General features: G+C 35.5%; 1 protein-coding gene across 6 annotated transcripts in view; it reads right to left on the reverse strand.

The window, feature by feature from the left end:
* ITPR2 (inositol 1,4,5-trisphosphate receptor type 2) overlaps positions 1 to 17,427 on the reverse strand; it is a 497,843-nt gene that overhangs the window by 88,183 nt on the left and 392,233 nt on the right. For all 6 annotated transcript variants that reach the window (XR_001748686.3, NM_001414174.1, NM_001414175.1 and 3 more), the window contains 3 exons: positions 15,593 to 15,785; positions 12,687 to 12,812; positions 4,379 to 4,554 (listed from right to left, as the gene is read on the reverse strand). Coding sequence is in view for 5 of the 6 variants with exons in the window: in NM_001414174.1 (NP_001401103.1) it covers positions 4,379 to 4,554; positions 12,687 to 12,812; positions 15,593 to 15,785 (495 nt within the window). In the remaining variant the exon portion in view is untranslated. The remainder of the gene's footprint in view (positions 1 to 4,378; positions 4,555 to 12,686; positions 12,813 to 15,592; positions 15,786 to 17,427) is intronic.

The raw sequence follows: 17,427 nt of genomic DNA on the forward strand, positions 1-17,427 counted from the left end.
ATATTTTACTACATTGTTATTTATTTAAAAATCTGAACAACAAAAGTTAATGGAGTGGTTATAACGCCCATATGACTGGAAATAATACAGTTATTAAAATGAGGTTTACAAATAATTTTAATGGTATGAAAGAATATTAAGTGACCCCAAATTTATAAAATATGTGCTTATATTTGTCAGAATAATATATTAATTTCTATTACCAATGCAAACTAACAGTGCATTGCAGAGGGAAGAAAACTAGACTGGGTTATAAGATGTGCTTTATAATGAGAAAAAAACACTTGAATTTTTTGAAATATCTCAAATATTGCGATCACTTCTGTGACAAGGCAAACTAGTTGAAATCTAGACCAACTCCTAGTTTTAGAAATGAATAAAGACAATAAAAAAGAAGCACCATAGTAAACAGAAACCAGTACTAAGTTGTTATAACACAGGTTGAGGCTGTTCCTCCCACTTGATTCCTTTTCCAAAAATAAGACTTTCTGCAGTGGCTTAACATTGTGAAAAACAGAGTCCAGAAACAACTCCCCAAGAACCAAAACACAAATATTTTTACAACCATAAAAAGAATGTTTTACAATTAAAGGGTGCTTCATGTATTATTACAGATAGTTGGTAAACAGCTGCCATTGTTACTATCCTATCATTATCACCATTATTAATCTTTTCTAAATCTTTTCAACTATCCTAGCGAAGACAGATCAGGCTTTAGTATCTTCCTTTCACTAATGAGAAGAATGAAATTCAAAGTCTTGTTGATTTGCCTAAAGTGTAGAACTCTGATGGTCATTAAGGCAAAATTGTCAGGTAGATGTCTTCTTTTGTTTTTCTTATTTCTGATACCTATAGTTTTAGCACTTATAGTTTCACCTCTTACACAATGCAAACTTTTAAGTGTAAATTAAGTTAATAAATGTACTAAAACTTAAGGTACAAGATATGACTAATTGATATTTTCATGTATTTATTTCCTACCTCCTGGGTAATGATAAACCATAGATAGCTTTGTAGTGAACTTGTTTTTTGGTTTTTGTTTTCGTTTTGTGTTTTTTTTTTTTTTTTTTTTTGAGATGGAGTCTCGCTCTGTCACCCAGGCTGGAGTGCAGTGGCACGATCTCGGCTCACTGCAACCTCCACCTCCTGGGTTGAAGCGATTCTCCTGCCTCAGCCTCCTGAGTAGCTGGGATTACAGGCACGAGCCACCATGACCAGCTAATTTTTGTTTTGTTTTGTTTTTGAAACAGAATCCCATTTTGTCACCCAGGCAGTAGTGCAGTGGCCTGATGTCAGCTCAGTGCAACCTCTACCTCCTGGGTTCAAGCGATTCTCTGGCCTCAGCCTCTGGAGTAGCTGGGACTACAGGTACGCACCATCATGCCATACTAATTTTTATATTTTTAGTAGAGACAGGGTTTTCACCATGTTGACCAGGCTGGTCACAAACTCCTGATCTAGTGTGATCCGCCCACCTCAGCCTCTCAAAGTGCTGGGATTACAGGCATCAGTCACTGCACCCAGCAGTGAACTTGTTATGTTAAAAATGAAGGTAGATGATATTCGCTAAAATATTTTTTTTTATTTTTTGTAGAGATGAGGTCTCACTATGTTGACCAGACTGGCCTCAAACTCCTGTCCTCAAGCAATCATCCTGCCTCAGCCTCCCAAAGTATTGGGATTACAGGCATGACATAGCATCCAACCTAAAACATGTTTATTAATCCACATATTATTAAAATTATAGATAAAATTTTTTGTCAATATCTACAATATCAAAATGACAATTATTCCACTGAATGTGTTTGTCCCAAATTAAAGTTGATTTTTTTTTGGTCAAAATGCTCTGAGCGGCCAGGCGCAGTGGCTCACGCATGTAATCCCAGCACTTTGGGAGGCCAAGGCGGGTGGATCATGAGGTCAGGAGATCAAGACCATCCTGGCTAACATGGTGAAACCTCATCTCCACTAAAAATACAAAAAATTAGCCAGGCATGGTGGCACGCGCCCATAGCCCCAGCTACTCAGGAGCCTGAGGCAGGAAAACCGCTTGAACCTGGGAGGTGGAGGTTGCAGTGAGCCGAGATCACGCCACTGCACTCCAGTGGGCGACAGAGTGAGACCCTGTCTAAAAAAGAAAAAAAAAAAAAACGCTCTGAGCTGGTAGACCACAATGTATCATTTGACTGTACAAACAGATGTTCTATGCTGTGAAAGCAATTACAGTCCCCACAGATTTCTACAGTTAATAAAGGAGAGATGTTGCATATCTACATGTATATTCTTTCTCATAAAGAAAGTGAAATATAAAACTTGCCTCTTCTATGAAGAGTCATTTGCTATAGTGGAATTATTTTCACCAAACCAGGCAAAAGCTATCTTCTTATCCTCTCCCATGAGGGGAAAAAATGCTCCAAATGTCTTTGGTTTCCCCCAGTAGACATTAGAATGTTATTCCTTATCTCTTTATATATTCTTGGTCCAAAAACAAAGGAAATGCAAATCGGTGAGTGTGACACATCAGCTTCTGGATGGCAAGAACCATTTCCTTTATCGTCTTGGTATTTTTAGTGTCTATTATATAACAGAGGCCCAGTAAATGATTATTATTTTTGGCCCATCTCTAGCTATTATTTCACTTTGTCAGACTTGGATTTTTTTTTCACTTGGATTCATGTCTTCTTGAGGGCCAGTTACCAGTTTATAAATATTATTTGCTTCTTCAAATAATATAGTTCAATATGCAATTTATGTTTTTAAAGAAAAAAAGTCAAACACATAGGCTTAGAAAAATTTAGACAAATTCATGAAGATTTTCTAATTTGCTTGGTTGGTAATACTGTAAAATCAGCTTATTTCCAAGGCATTGAAAGTACACATTCAGTTCATGTAAACATTTTCTGAATGTTTCAATGCCAGCTGTTAAAGTAGAGAAACATGGAGCTGGGAAGGAGTGAGGCAGGTAGGGCTAAATTTATAAATGTGACAACTTCTGCCCTCAAGAAACTTACAGAATAATATATTTGGTATTTTACAAAATTCTTTACTGATAGACTTCTTTGTAGGTATAGTACACTTCCCTTTATTGACAATGATTGAGGATAATTGGTAATTTGGTTGCCTGAATGTTCTAGCTAATTGGGAGCTGTCAAATACATCATGTCTAATTTTCGAAGAATTGTAATAAAATAGAGGTCAGAAACACAGAAATACAGAATTGGCCATATTAGCTCAGCTTTATAATTCTTGAAAGTTTGGTTGACTATTTTATTAATTCATTTTAATAAATAAATAAAATAAATACATTTTATTTATTAAGTAAATATTTGTTAAATATTAGTTATTATTAAATATTTGCTAAATATTAAATATTTATTACTAAATAAATATTTGCTATATATTTTATGTGCAAGCCCCTGTAAATATATAAGAATACAAAGATAATTGTTCACTCATTCATTCACTCACTTATTAATTTATTTATTTAGGAAATATTTACTGAGTACCTATAATGTTCTTGATACTGAATGATCAATCCTTAAGCATAGTAAAATGTAGTAGGGGAGACTAGTCCTAATTACAGATACCAGAATGTAGGACATTATGTTAGAAACCCAGGAAAAGATCGAAAGTGTCTAGGTATTCAACACATAGATCAGCAATACTTATTTTCTTACCTGGCCATTTGTTATTTCATTAGCCTGATGGTTTTACCTTTTAATATCTCTGTATGGCTGTGCCATGCATAACGTTGGCTAGTCCCTTTAAAATTGTATTTCTCGGGTAAAATTATTTCTATAAATGTATCACTTGCTTTTTGAAATACTACTACTCTGTGCTTCCTTATTCTAATATTTCAAAATTCGGTCAAAAAATTAATCCTATCTATGACTTTCATCAGTTTATAAAATTTGTTCACATAAAAAGAACCCAATTTAATATTTTCTCATATAGAAATCCTTTTTCTTAGGTCATTTGATGAAAGGTGCCCACTTTCAAAATTCTATTGAACATAATTTAATCTTTTTTGGATGATTTACGATGTCACTTTGGAATATTAACAATGGCTCAGTCATTTTTGTCAATAGCTGTGGGTATAGGATGCAGAATGCATTAAAATTGGATTGGATTAAATTGATGGCAGAACTGGGTCATTCCCCAAATGTTACTTCTTAAATATAGCAATCTTTTACCTATCATTTTTTCTTTCACTCAAAATTAAATTAAAAAAGTACAAATTATGCTCTGGTTAATTTAGATTTATAATAAATTAGAATTCACCATGCATACATGAATTAAAAGCTTATAGTTATATTTTTATATTTCATACACTTTTAAACTAATTCTGTAACAGTACAAAGCTAAGTAAAGTACTTACATTAGCTGCACCAAGAAGTATTAATGTAGGCCCAAGACCTATTGTATATATTGATCTGAGCATTATTGATACAAGAAACGGCCGAATACCCACAGGCTTGGAGAAGAAAAACAGCATAGATGTGCAGATCGCAACTGCTATCCAAAGAAGAACCGAGAACAATGGAGAAAGTGTACCTGTAAAATGTGGAAGAAATTTATTGCTACTAAGAATAAAACTAAAAAATGCTAAAATATTTGCTGCTCTACTTTATATGGTATCATTAAGTCAAAGCCATAATCCAGTAAATTTCAAAATGACCCCATCTACGTTCTTTATATTTCAAGGAAATGTCTTTGAAAGCATTACTCATTATTACATTTCCAGAAAATTTGTGATTACTTTCAAGCTACTTAAATACTCACTAGTTAATGTTCCTTTTATTAAGTCTGACAATTGTTCATCTTTCTGTCATATGAGGGTGATTTGCTAAATACTTTTGATAGACATCTCTCTCGGGAACCTTAATCCAAAATTTATGATTAATGACCATTAGATATATAGCTAAATCATTAAAAAATTGAATTCATACCTTGTCTTGTCCTATCAGTATCAAGTTTCCATAGTCTAGATTCCTCTGAAGAATCTAGTAGAATAACCTTTATAAAATAGACACATGCTTTAACTGCTAAATACACATACATAGATATGTGTATGAGTACGTGCATGAGTGTGTGTATTTGAAGGCCAACTCTACTGCTAAATAAAATTTTTAGCTATTTACTCATCAGAAAATTCACATTCCAAATGTCTTAAAAAACGAACTCTGTTACACATAAGATTTCTTAGGAACTCCCCAAAAGAGAGGTTCAAAAATATTTTTTCTTTAATAAGTAGTACAATTCATTGACATTTGCACTGACATGTGCATTCAAGGAATCTTTCCCTGAAGGTCATGTGGTGCTGCATTTGCAGAAGTAAATTAAGAGGCAACATTCTTGGGCTGATTGGATCAGCTCTGGGGCCTCAAATGCATGTCTATAGGCTGACATAGAAAGGAAACAACAAAATGGAGACTTTCCACTGGTAAATATTCAATAACAGTCTTAATCTTTTGGCCACACCTCTTATCTTTATTTATAAAATTTGCTACCGCATGCAAAACACCTCAAGGGCTTGATATGCATAGCTTTTGTACTGTCATCAAAACCCTGGGATTATCTGACTCCTTTAATGAATTCTGTATAAACTCTTAGTTCATAGTGTGTGCTAACATCTCAGAAATAGGCAGGAAGATCCTGTCAACTGTTAAAAGACAAACAAAAAATCAGATAATGAACAGCATTCATTTAGACATGTTTACTTTTGCAAGGTTTGTTCTTATCATGCTGTCTCTGAAAGCAAACAATGATGAAAGGAGCTTGGGAAGACAGATGTGATATTCTCCCTCACCAAATTTATAATCTGATAAGATTAATTTGGAGATGGGGAAAGAAAAAGGGTAAACTGCTCTGAAAGTTACCTTCAATTCTTGTCCTCTGGCAATGCTAACATACAGGTACCCTACTCGTGTTTATGATGATGTTGGCTTGTAAGCACTCCACATCTACCAAAATACAGGCTGACCACCAACTGCCCTGACCTCACAGATCTCAAAGAGCCATAGAGTAAATAATGTCTTCAATTTTCTCTCTTTCTTACTGGGACTTGAGACTCCACCAGGATGTACAATCTAAAAGGATGAGGGCCATCTCTAGACCTATCGCCATGCCTGTTACACAACAACAAATAAAAATTTGTTGATTGAGTAAATAAACAAAAATATATTCTGTGAGTTTGTTTTGAATAAATAACTAAGTCTCCAGTTATCAACTCCCCAAGTCATACAGCTTAGCTTTTAAGTTCACTAAAACTGACAATATCTTCAAGGCACATTTACAGCTGTCAGCCAGTTATTTGACTTTTCAGCATAATTCATAAGCAATGTCTTGGTGACACTCTTATTCTAGAATAATTTGGCATAGATAGTCACATTGTGCATTGTCACTAATTTCTGATAAACTATTCACCTCTTCACTATTCTTTCCAAGACCATATCTGGTTTGCTGAGATATCCCCTTGATCAAACAGAAATTATAGTCAGGCACTTAAAATTGGGTGTTTGATCCCTTTGTGAAAAGAACTCAAAGAGTGTCTAGTATAGTAGCTTGCACATAGGTTCATACTAAATATATATTTGTGGAATAAACTCAAAAGTTATTTAAAACAGCTATTGCCAATGTTTATAATTAACTTCTCTAAGAATGATCATATTGGTTTCTATCTGAAGATTCAATGCTAAAAAAGAACTGAAGTCTCTCTGACAAACTCTAGAGAAGACAGTACAGATTTTCTTTGAGTCTTGCTCTGTCACCCAGGCTGGAGTGCAGTGGCGTGATCTCGGCTCACTGCAACCTCTGCCTCCCAGGTTCAAGTGATTCTCCTGCCTCAGCCTCCCGAGTAGCTGTCAGTACAGGTGCCTGCCACCACGTCTGGCTAAATTTTGTATTGTCAGTAGAGTCTAGGTTTCACCCTGTTGGCCAGGCTGGTCTCGAACTCCTGACCTCAGGTGATCCACCTGCCTTGGCCTCCCAAAGTGCTGGGATTACGGGCATGAGCCACCTCGCTGAGCTGACAGTACAGATTTTCAAAGCCATTCTTTACCCATTAATGGTGGGAAGGGAGGAGCATTTTCTCTCCTTAATACTTTATATATGTATCCATTTTCTATAATAAACATGATATTATTTTAATAATACAAAAAGTTTTATAATTTACCCTATACATTTTTAAATCTTAGAAAGTATGAAGTTTATCTTTTGTAAAAGAAAATTCAGAAAGCAAAATTGCAAACTTCAATCCAGTTCACATAATGGAGCTCTGCTATCTACCTCATGCAGACTCTATAGTTTCCTGTACAGAACATGCTGCTTCTTACTTCCCTGTTTCTCTCCATCCCTCTGCCTCCCAAGTAGCCTCATGAGATCTTTCTGTTTCCTCTGCCTCAGTCCAGCTAAAGTAGACATCCACTCAGAAATCCCTGGGTGGTCTTTACTATTGTGCCTTATTCATTTCTTGGTCCCTTAACTGGACTGTGAACTCTCTGAGGACAAGGACAAGTTTACTAATCTTTGTATTTTTTAAAATACAAAGATTGTAAAATCTTTTATATTTAACAGTGCCTAGCACATAGCGGCGCTCCACCAACAGTTAAATTGAAGGAATTGAAATCACCATGAAGAACTCATTTTCTTTAACACAAAGCACTTGATGGAAAAAAAGAATTACACTACAAATTCTAATATAATTTTTTAAAATCACATACTATCTTGGTATAAGACATTCTCATGGCATCAATTTTCTCCACTAACTAGTCTGCCTTTGCCAAATGAAATCCTGGGTAGGGATATCTGGCGTGGCAGCTGTCAGCTTCTGAGTGGACTTCCAGGCTATTCCCAGCATCAGCAGCTGCTGCTTCAGCCGCAACCAGTGTAGCCTCATTCCTCAACATTGGCATGTTTCTTTTTTAGAGAAGCATACCTTAAACAAACAAACAGCCACAAAAACCAATCAGCCAAACAAAGAAACCCAACCAAAACGTTTAGCCATAAAACATCAGCCCTGTACTCCTGAACAAATTGAAACCAAACTCTTCAAAGCCTGGCAATTAAAGGAGATTCTCTATCTGCAGTAGAGGGTGAAGAGTGCCCAACAGGCTGGTCCTCTGAGAATTCCCTCTCCCTTAAATGTCTCCATTTAGTCATTGTACCCCACTACCTGGTTGAAGAGGGCAACTACTCTCTCAGTTAATATCATAACCCAAGTGTGAACCAAATATTTGAGCACAAGAAACTCCTAGTAGTCCAGGTGTTCAGACTGGGAAATATAATTGGAGGAAGCATACACGGCTCATTCCCTCTGCCAGTCCCTCTGTTCTCACCACCACATTGGTACCAGCATGTATTAGGATCTGGGGTTGGAAGGTGGCATATTTTAACCAGAGCTCTTTTTGTGGTCCAAGACTTACCAGGTGATTTCATAATCAGCTTCTATACCGAGTCAAGGAACTTCAGGGTTGGACAGACTCCTTACATTTATTATTTTTTTTTCTTTTTAACTTTATCCTTTACCTAGATTCCCCAAATGTCAACACCTCATATAACTACATGAAAATGATCAATATCAGGAAATTAACATTGATAGACCACTTTTACCATCTATCTAGTCAAAGTTAGTCAATTTCCCAATTTATGTCCTTCTTCTGAACCAGGGTCACACATGGGATTCAGTTGTCACGTCTCTTTAGTATCTTTTAATTTGGATAGTTGCTCAGTCTTTCTTTGTCTTTCATAAGCTTGACACCTTGAAGAGTACTGGCCAATTATGTTGTAGTATATCCCTCATTTGGGGTTTGTCTGAAATTTTATCAGTTAATTTATTTTTGGAAAATGATGTTATGTCCTTGTCGGTGATTGTATCAGGAGGCATGTGATGTTGCTGGGTCTCATTACAGGTGCCATTAATACTGATCACTTAGCTAAAGTGATCACTTTAAAGTTATTATTTTTCCTTTCATAATTAAGTATACTGTGGGGACAGAATTGTACATTATATATAGGTTATATACTTTTCATCATATAGTCACCCATTAATTTTAGCAGCCATGGATAATTTTTACTACTGTGATGTTTGCCAAATGGTGACATTTATTTCCGTCATTCTGTCTACATTTTATTAATTGGAATACAATTACTAAAAAAGAGCTTTATCTTCCCACTATCAACATGAACTCCTGGATTCTTATTTTATTCTATAGGAGATGATGTGTCACTGTCAATAATCTTTTTCTCTAAATTTTCTCATATTTGACCATCTGGAGACCTTTCAAGTTGGATCCTGGGTTTTCTGACATGTCTCCATCATTTTTAAGCACTTCTTGAAGGAATTTTCATCCATCTTTAATCTCACCCACCTCTAAATCACTTCACAGTGGCCCTAGCATACAGTCGTTCAGCCTGTTTGACCAAATCCAGCATCAGAGAACCTTCACCACCAGCACAGAGCTTTCCTTCTCCAGACAATTCTGATGGCCAAGTATGTGTAACAGTCTTAGCTCTGTTTCCTCAGCATTCCTAGCTATGCAGTGTGCAACAGATTAAGACTAAGCTAATCCTGACCAAAATGTTAACCTTATTCATGGGGCTATAATTAAATAACTCATCCAGAACTATAACCAGATGACCCAGACATAACCTTGGGGTTTGATATTGCCAAAATGGCAGCTCATGCCTTCCCTTCCCTCTAAGCACCCCATCCACTTGGATATCCTAAGCTGAGCCTCTACATTGGTTACTACTGTTAACTGCTATCCAGTCCTTTCCCAGAAGTAAAGTCTGCATCTGCACCTGATGATAGTGCACCATGTCTTCCAGCCTTGTGTTCGTTAGTCCTATTTCTGGGACTAACAAACTTATACCTCCCATAACTAGGAGAAAATTGATGCCATGGGAATGTCTTATACCAAGATAGTATGTGATTTTTAAAAATTATATTAAAATTTGTAGTGTAATTGTTTTTTTCCATCAAGTGCTTTGTGTTAAAGAAAATGAGTTCTTCATGGTGATTTCAATTCCTTCAACTTAACTGTTGATGGAGTGCCGCACTGTTAAATATAAAGATTTTACAATCTTTGTATTTTAAAAAATACAAAGATTAGTAAACTTGTCCTTGTCCTCAGAGAGTTCACAGTCCAGTTAAGGGACCAAGAAATGAATAAGGCACAATAGTAAAGACGACCCAGGGAATTCTGAGTGGGTATCTATTTAGCTGGACTGAGGTAGAGGAAACAGAAAGATCTCATGAGGCTACTTGGGAGGCAGAGGGATGGAGAGAAACAGGGAAGTAAGAAGCAGCATGTTCTGTACAGGAAACTATAGAGTCTGCATGAGGTAGATAGCAGAGCTTCATTATGTGAACTGGATTGAAGTTTGCAATTTTGCTTTCTGAATTTTCTTTTATAAAAGATAAACTTCATACTTTCTAAGATTTAAAAATATATAGGGTAAATTAAAAAACATTTGTATTATTAAAATAATATCATGCTTATTATAGAAAATGGATACATATATAAAGTATTAAGGAGAGAAAATGCTCCTCCCTTCCCACCATTAATGGGTAAAGAATGGCTTTGAAAAATCCGTTATTTCAAGTCCTTTTTTAACGACCAGTTGCACCAGCAATACCTGGTGAGCTTATTAAAAAATACATATTTTTGGACTCTAATTACAAGGCAAATCTTCAGCCTCAGTTTCTTCATCCATAAGGATATTCTTCCTCCATAAGAATACAGATTTGTCAGGAAGATTAAGTGAAATGTATGTGAAGTGCTTAGCATTTTGCCTGACCCAATCTAAGTGGTGAACAACATCCGCTGCTGTTATTATTATCAGTATTACTATTATAACTATTATTGGCCAGGCAAGTATTACAAATACCATGTATTCTGCTTCTCCTGAATGAGTAAAGAGCAACTGCCCAGAGGGGTGGCATTTCCCATCACTACATTTCATGTACAATAGGTGGCAGCAGAGCCTACATACATTGGCTCTGGTGGTCAAGAAAGGGATATCATGGAATGGAACTCAAGGGAAATTAGGTCTTGTATGAAGAAGGGACATGCTTCTTGTTATTGACATGCTTCCAATCCACGGAGAAGGGTCCTAGATTGGAAACAAAAGGGTTAGCCTTCTACTCTAAGATATGTCATTTTTTAGGCTTTCTGGGCTTCCATCTGTTCATCTGTCAAATGAGTGTTTGATATTAGATGATTTCCAGAATTGCTTCCATTTCTAAGACTTTATGCTTCTAATAACTGGGACTCTATAATCTTCTCAGCATTCTGTGTGAAGATGATATTGATTTATCATTCATGCTGGACTTCTTTCCTCCCAAGAGTTATATTCCTCTATGCTAAGAGTTTATCACCAAAGGAGACCAAACACAATGAAGAGAATGCCGTTTTTACTTCCTGGTGTATTTGCAGTTGCTCTATAATGGATGGCCAAATATTTGCTACATTTTCACTGCTATTTAACTCATACATCCACTCCATTGCTTAATATTCTTCTTTTATTACGGGTATGCCTTCCAAAAACAGTGGTTATTCATGACTACTCAGATTACAGCTAAAGTTTAGAACTTTGATATCTATGTTACCTGTAATGAACCTGTAAAATAGCAAATGACCCTTGGACTCCCATTTCCTTTTCTGCCCACCCCCAGTTCATCTGAAATAGGCTGAAATACCTGTTGCTCTTATCATACTCTCTTTCCACTACGCTTCCTTATGTAGTACAAATATGTACCTTTTAAACAGCAACCACCACCATTGAACTTTATTGAAGGTTTATCAGGTACTATTCTAAATGCTTTACCTATAGTATCTCATTAAATTCTCACAGTAATCCCATGAAATGATGAGATGCAAAAGCACTGCATGGTTATTATTAGCTGATTTCTCCATCTTTTCTTTCAAGCCATTCTTTCCATGCCCATTCCAAAGTTATTTACCAGATTGTAGCCCAAGCCTGTAACATACTTCCCATGCTCTCCACCAAACTTATACAAAACTTACTTCCCAAAAATCTCACGATTCAGTATATTTCTCCTATATTTCTCATTTCCACCTAAAATGGTATAATTTCTCATTTTTGCTTTTGTATTATTAGTTTAATAATAGTTTCATATTCAGTATCCTTTATTTCCTATTATTATATTGTCTTATGCTGTTCACTTTTGAAACCTCAGATGATAAACATTTAATTATCTTAAGAATCCCTGACTTTAGTATAGAATTAAAAATTATTTCTAGATTACATGTATGCTCACTATAGAAACCTTAGACAAGACAGAAAACAAAGAGAGTAAAATATAAACGCCAGTATTTAGGTAACAACAATTAATATTGGGCACAGAACTGTCATTTGCATAATTTAGATGATACAGTATAAAAATGGGGTCATAATAATTAGGTAGAAATGACAAATCTTTTCATTGCTTTATTTGCCAAGATATAATATAGCTCTAATAACAATTGTGTATATGAGCTTTTTAAAAAATAACAGTTCTGTTGACCACACTTTTCTGCCTGTTCTATTTACTATCATACTCTACTTCCAACAAGTATAGAAAAATCCATTTAACAGGAATGAAATTATTCTTATTTTGAAGCTTTAAATAGTTAAGTGGGAACTTTAAAATATTTATATTTTAAGGAAAAACGAGCACTTGCCTTCATCTCCATCATCCCCAAATGGGTAGAAGAGAGCAACAGCTAAATTGATGAACACAGCCAGGTTGAAGGAAATGCTCCCCCAGAGAGAGATGTGCCTCGAGAACCAGAACAGTGCAGGGTTATCTAGGAAGTGAGAAATGTAAAGGAACTGAACAGGAAAATACATTTTGGTTTCAACACATGAAGCTTACCAAAACAATATTTTACTAAATGCATCATTTTTGTAAACTATTATAAAAACCTATTTAAATAAATATTTGACTTGAGTAAGTTTATTAAAAACAATCAGAACCATAAAGGAGTGAAATTTGATTTCTTCTTTCATCCTTCAGCCAGTTTAGGCCTAAACTACTGTAGAAGGGTGAGGAATTTTGCAATTGCTAAAGGTGGTCAGAAAAGGTGATTCTGTAATAACTCTCTGTAATCTATCTGCAGAGCAGTTTAGCAGTTGCCTGGGGTCCCTTTTAATGAAATGATATACTTCATTGTATAATTTGGTAATATTGATAAATTGGTCCCATTCCCATGCCTTAAAGTCAAATAAAAAAACTCAAACCCATAGCACAGATATATTTCTAATGAAAATTCCTATGACAGTCACAGTTACCTGAAAGTATGAAACCTAATCATGTGACATAGTATTCCTGATGGGGAACTAGTGATTTATAATATTATCTACATTTTAAACCTTAAATCTTCCTAAGAACTTGTTGGGTTTGAAACAGCAGAAGAAAATGAGCACTATAATAAAAACTGTTAATAAGTGGAACACGCTTTGCTGCATATATTCAACAAAGGACTCTGTGTCTGTTATCACAAATGAATTAGTAAATACATCAATCGAATACAGTTTACATTAACCAAAAATCAGTTCTTTCCACCTCTGTTAAATAACTGAACGGATTGGTAATGCATGTAAGTTTGAATGACAGCCAAATCTACTAGCCTGCCCTGGGCACTCACATGGCTCCTATAGGCCTTGTCCATTCTCTAACTTTTAAAAACTTAACACCAGGATTAAAAAATTGAAGTTAATCAAGGGGGAAAGGCACATCGATTTTCAAATGGAAATGATTAACTTTGTAGATATATCCTGTGAATTTCAACCTAGTGCCTATTGCCTACTTACAAACTGTACTTCTCTTTAGTACATCTTGTTTTCCTTCTCTTGGAAGGGAACATTCCAATGCCGAAATATGCTATGATCAGCTATGCCATTCAATTGACTAATGTATCATAAACTATAAACATCTGCATCTCCATCATTCCTGAATTAGGAGTCCTCATTTTTAAAGGTAGACTATTAAGACAAAATTAGAAGATGTTGATGCATGTATTTGTAATAACAAATTCTCACTATTGAATCCACCAAATGAATTAGACTCTGCCTATAGCCTCATAATAAGCTGCTTCCAAATTTTAAAGTAAAATGTACATTGAAAATTATTTTAAGATTTAATTTTTGGTAAATGATAAAATACTTATTTTTTTAAAAGCACAGACCTCCCCAAAGCACTAGTTCAGTATTCAATTTATTGTCAAGGAGAAAATATATGTTTTTTTGTTTTGTTTTGGTTTTTGTTTGTTTGTTTTATTGAGATGGTGTCTCACTCTGTCGCCCAGGCTGGAGTGCAGTGTTGCAACCTCGGCTCACTGCAACCTCTGCCTCCTGGGTTCAAGTGATTCTCCTGCCTCAGCCTCCCGAGTAGCTGGGACTACAGGTGCCTGCCACCACGCCCGGCTAATTTTTTGTATTTTTGGTAGAGACAGGGTTTCACTGCGTTAGCCAGGATGGTCTCGATCTCCTGACCTCATGATCTGCCTGCCTCGGCCTCCCAAAGTGCAGGGATTACAGGCATGAGCCACCACGCCTGGCCAGAAAATATATGTTTTTTAAATGCTCCAAATAAAATTGTGTCTTCATATGTATTTTAGACACCCAAAATTTTCACTGAATTCCATAAGGCTCTACATGGTAAAATGCTAAGGGAGAATAATTTTGATTTTTTTAAAAGCATTCTGTTTTAAAAGCCTGAAAATGCATACCACACCCCTATATCTAAAGATGATATTTCTCAAGCACCACTCAAATTCATAAATCATACCCACTAAAGTTGCTGAAAACTACCATAATGAAATACTGTTGAATAGAAGTATTGAGAACATATCCTGTTTGTCTAGAAAACTCCAAGAGACTGAAAAAGACCTACTCAAGAGTTTCCCCCATTGACTTTCGTGAAAAACTCATGAGATCCCTTATTTTGGAAAATAAAGTTTATTTAAAAATTCTAAAATTTTAAATTTTAAAAGTCAGTGTTTCCTAATAGACGTGGGACCTAAGAGATAGGTCATGGGAACTGTACTAAGCTGATTTTTAACTGGAATATTATAACATTGCTCTGTTTAAATACAAGTGTTATCATATGTATAACTTGTTTGATTTGGGGAGGTAAAGATATGTTCAAAGAAAGAATTACTCTCAGCAAAACACGAAACAATCCCCTCAATCACAGGACAACAGAGGAAGAGTGCGCAGGAGCTGATGTCTCTCAATCCTATTCACTGATAGGCCAGTCAGGGCCCATTCACGGACTTCAAACCTGTGGCTGTTCAACATTTGAAATGTACAGCTTCAACCCTGCATTTCATAACATTTATTTAAAAATAGGATCATCATGAAGAGTCGATGTAATTAGTTAGGGCTTTCTGTTTTCCTTAAGCTGCGGGTGTCTCGGCTCCAGTGGTAGACTAAGCGGACACTCTTAAGACTGCAAGTGATTTCAGTAATATCAGACCAGCAAGAAATTAAAAAAACAATTTAAATGAGCTGCATCATGTGTCCCAAAGTACCAAATTATCTACCACTATGCACAAAACTAACCATTTCAGTTTACTGTACTTACTCCTGATTTTCTTCTGCCACTTCATTTCATTGTAGAGATCTTCTGTTTGCTGGAAAAAGTCATTCACTTTACTTCCTTGTTCATCCCTTTCAGTTGTATTGAACACACGGCACTTGGATTCTCGAGTGAGGTATTCACATATATTGGGGACAGGAAAAACTATTTGTTCCATGGTCCTATCATGCCGGACAATCTGAAAACATTAATTTGCATTGTTTTTAGCCTTTCGGACACCTCAGTCTTAGACTTGCTTTTGTTTTTAACATGAGTTTACTGAGAATGTTTTATGAATTCAGTTGTGAAAAAATGTGCCAACTTGAAGTATCTGAAAGAACCCTTTTTACTATACTACTTTGTATTTTTCTCTTTAAAAAAGAGAAATTAATTGACTAATATATCATGAACACTATACTTTGCTTAAAATAACAAAAACTAAAACCTTTTATTCTTTCTGGGTTAGCATTACACTTCTGCCACCCATTTTTATTTTTGTGAAGTACATCCTAAAACTAAGACAGTCTTAATTAGAAAGTGATTGGCTGGGTAGCCTTAAACATAGCGCTTATGTTATTTGTATCTTGTTCTTAGCCTCTTCATCCTAAAAGGGGCTGCCAGGTAACAAATGACATATTCAGCATTATGTGTCTGAACTCTACAGAGAAAAGCGCTTTATATCATTAAAATGTTCTCTTATTCATGGTAAAACATATTTTTGTAGCTACAACATCCATGTAAACATATACCCACATTTAAATACTCATCATTTTTAGCCTCCCTTATTTGTTATTTGTGACTGTTTAACTTTAGACTAAAAAAAGGCTGAATATTTTCATACAGCTTTACTATGTAACAAGGGCTTATGTAGCCTAAATTTCAAGGTTCATATTTATGTACAGTGCCCAGTTCTCAGGAATGAATAAGGATTGGCTTAACCCAAACGAGTAATTCTGCTTCCCTTTGCCACTGACTGGTGTGGTGGTGGTCATGGACTGTACCTCTGGAAAGTGAGGCATAAAGAGAAATATCCTGAAAGGGCTTCCAGGAGAGATTTTGCTTCTTGGTAAAGGCAGAGAGCCATAAGAGACACACAAAACAACAACAACAACAACAACAACCAAATACACGAAAACAAAAGTTTTTTGTTGTTGTTGTTGTTTTGGTTTGCCTGTACCCTCTTTCTTCTTGCTTAGAACAAAAGGGTCTAAGGGCATGATGCTTAGAATGCTAGCAGCCATTTTGCAACCATGAGGTGAGATAGTGTCAGCATGATAAGGAACCTAGTATAAAGATGTGAAGAGTCTGCATATTTTAAGACATCACTGAATCACTGAATCAATTACAGAACTACTGGTACTCCAGACTTCCCATAAGATAAAATTTTACTGTTTAAACAATTGTCACTGTGGTATTCTATTAATCTTGTAACTGAAGGTATCCTAAATGATATGTGATATATTCAATTACATACTAGAATACTGTCATAAAGCAAACTACATGAAATTTAGTAGGGTAAATAAAAATTCTTGCATATAGGTTACAAAAATCAATTGTACAAAATAATTGGACATATTTGATATGACAGGCAACCATATAGGGAAAAAAGGTTTACTTGATTCAATAGTGTCAAATATTTTTAAAAAATCTCAGGGTGCATCAAAGAAATCATGTCTAGATTATTATAAGCCAAGCTCTTCAGTCCTTTTATGAAATGTTATGTTTGATTATGGTTGTCACATTTTACAAGCAGCATGGACAAACTGGAGGGATTACTGAAGGAAATGGAGGTGTGTTAACCGCAAAAAGCCAGAGATGGATAATTTTTCAATACGTTTATT

This window comes from Homo sapiens, chromosome 12 (assembly GCF_000001405.40).
Source record: "Homo sapiens chromosome 12, GRCh38.p14 Primary Assembly".
In the NCBI taxonomy this organism is placed as follows: Eukaryota; Metazoa; Chordata; class Mammalia; order Primates; family Hominidae; genus Homo; species Homo sapiens.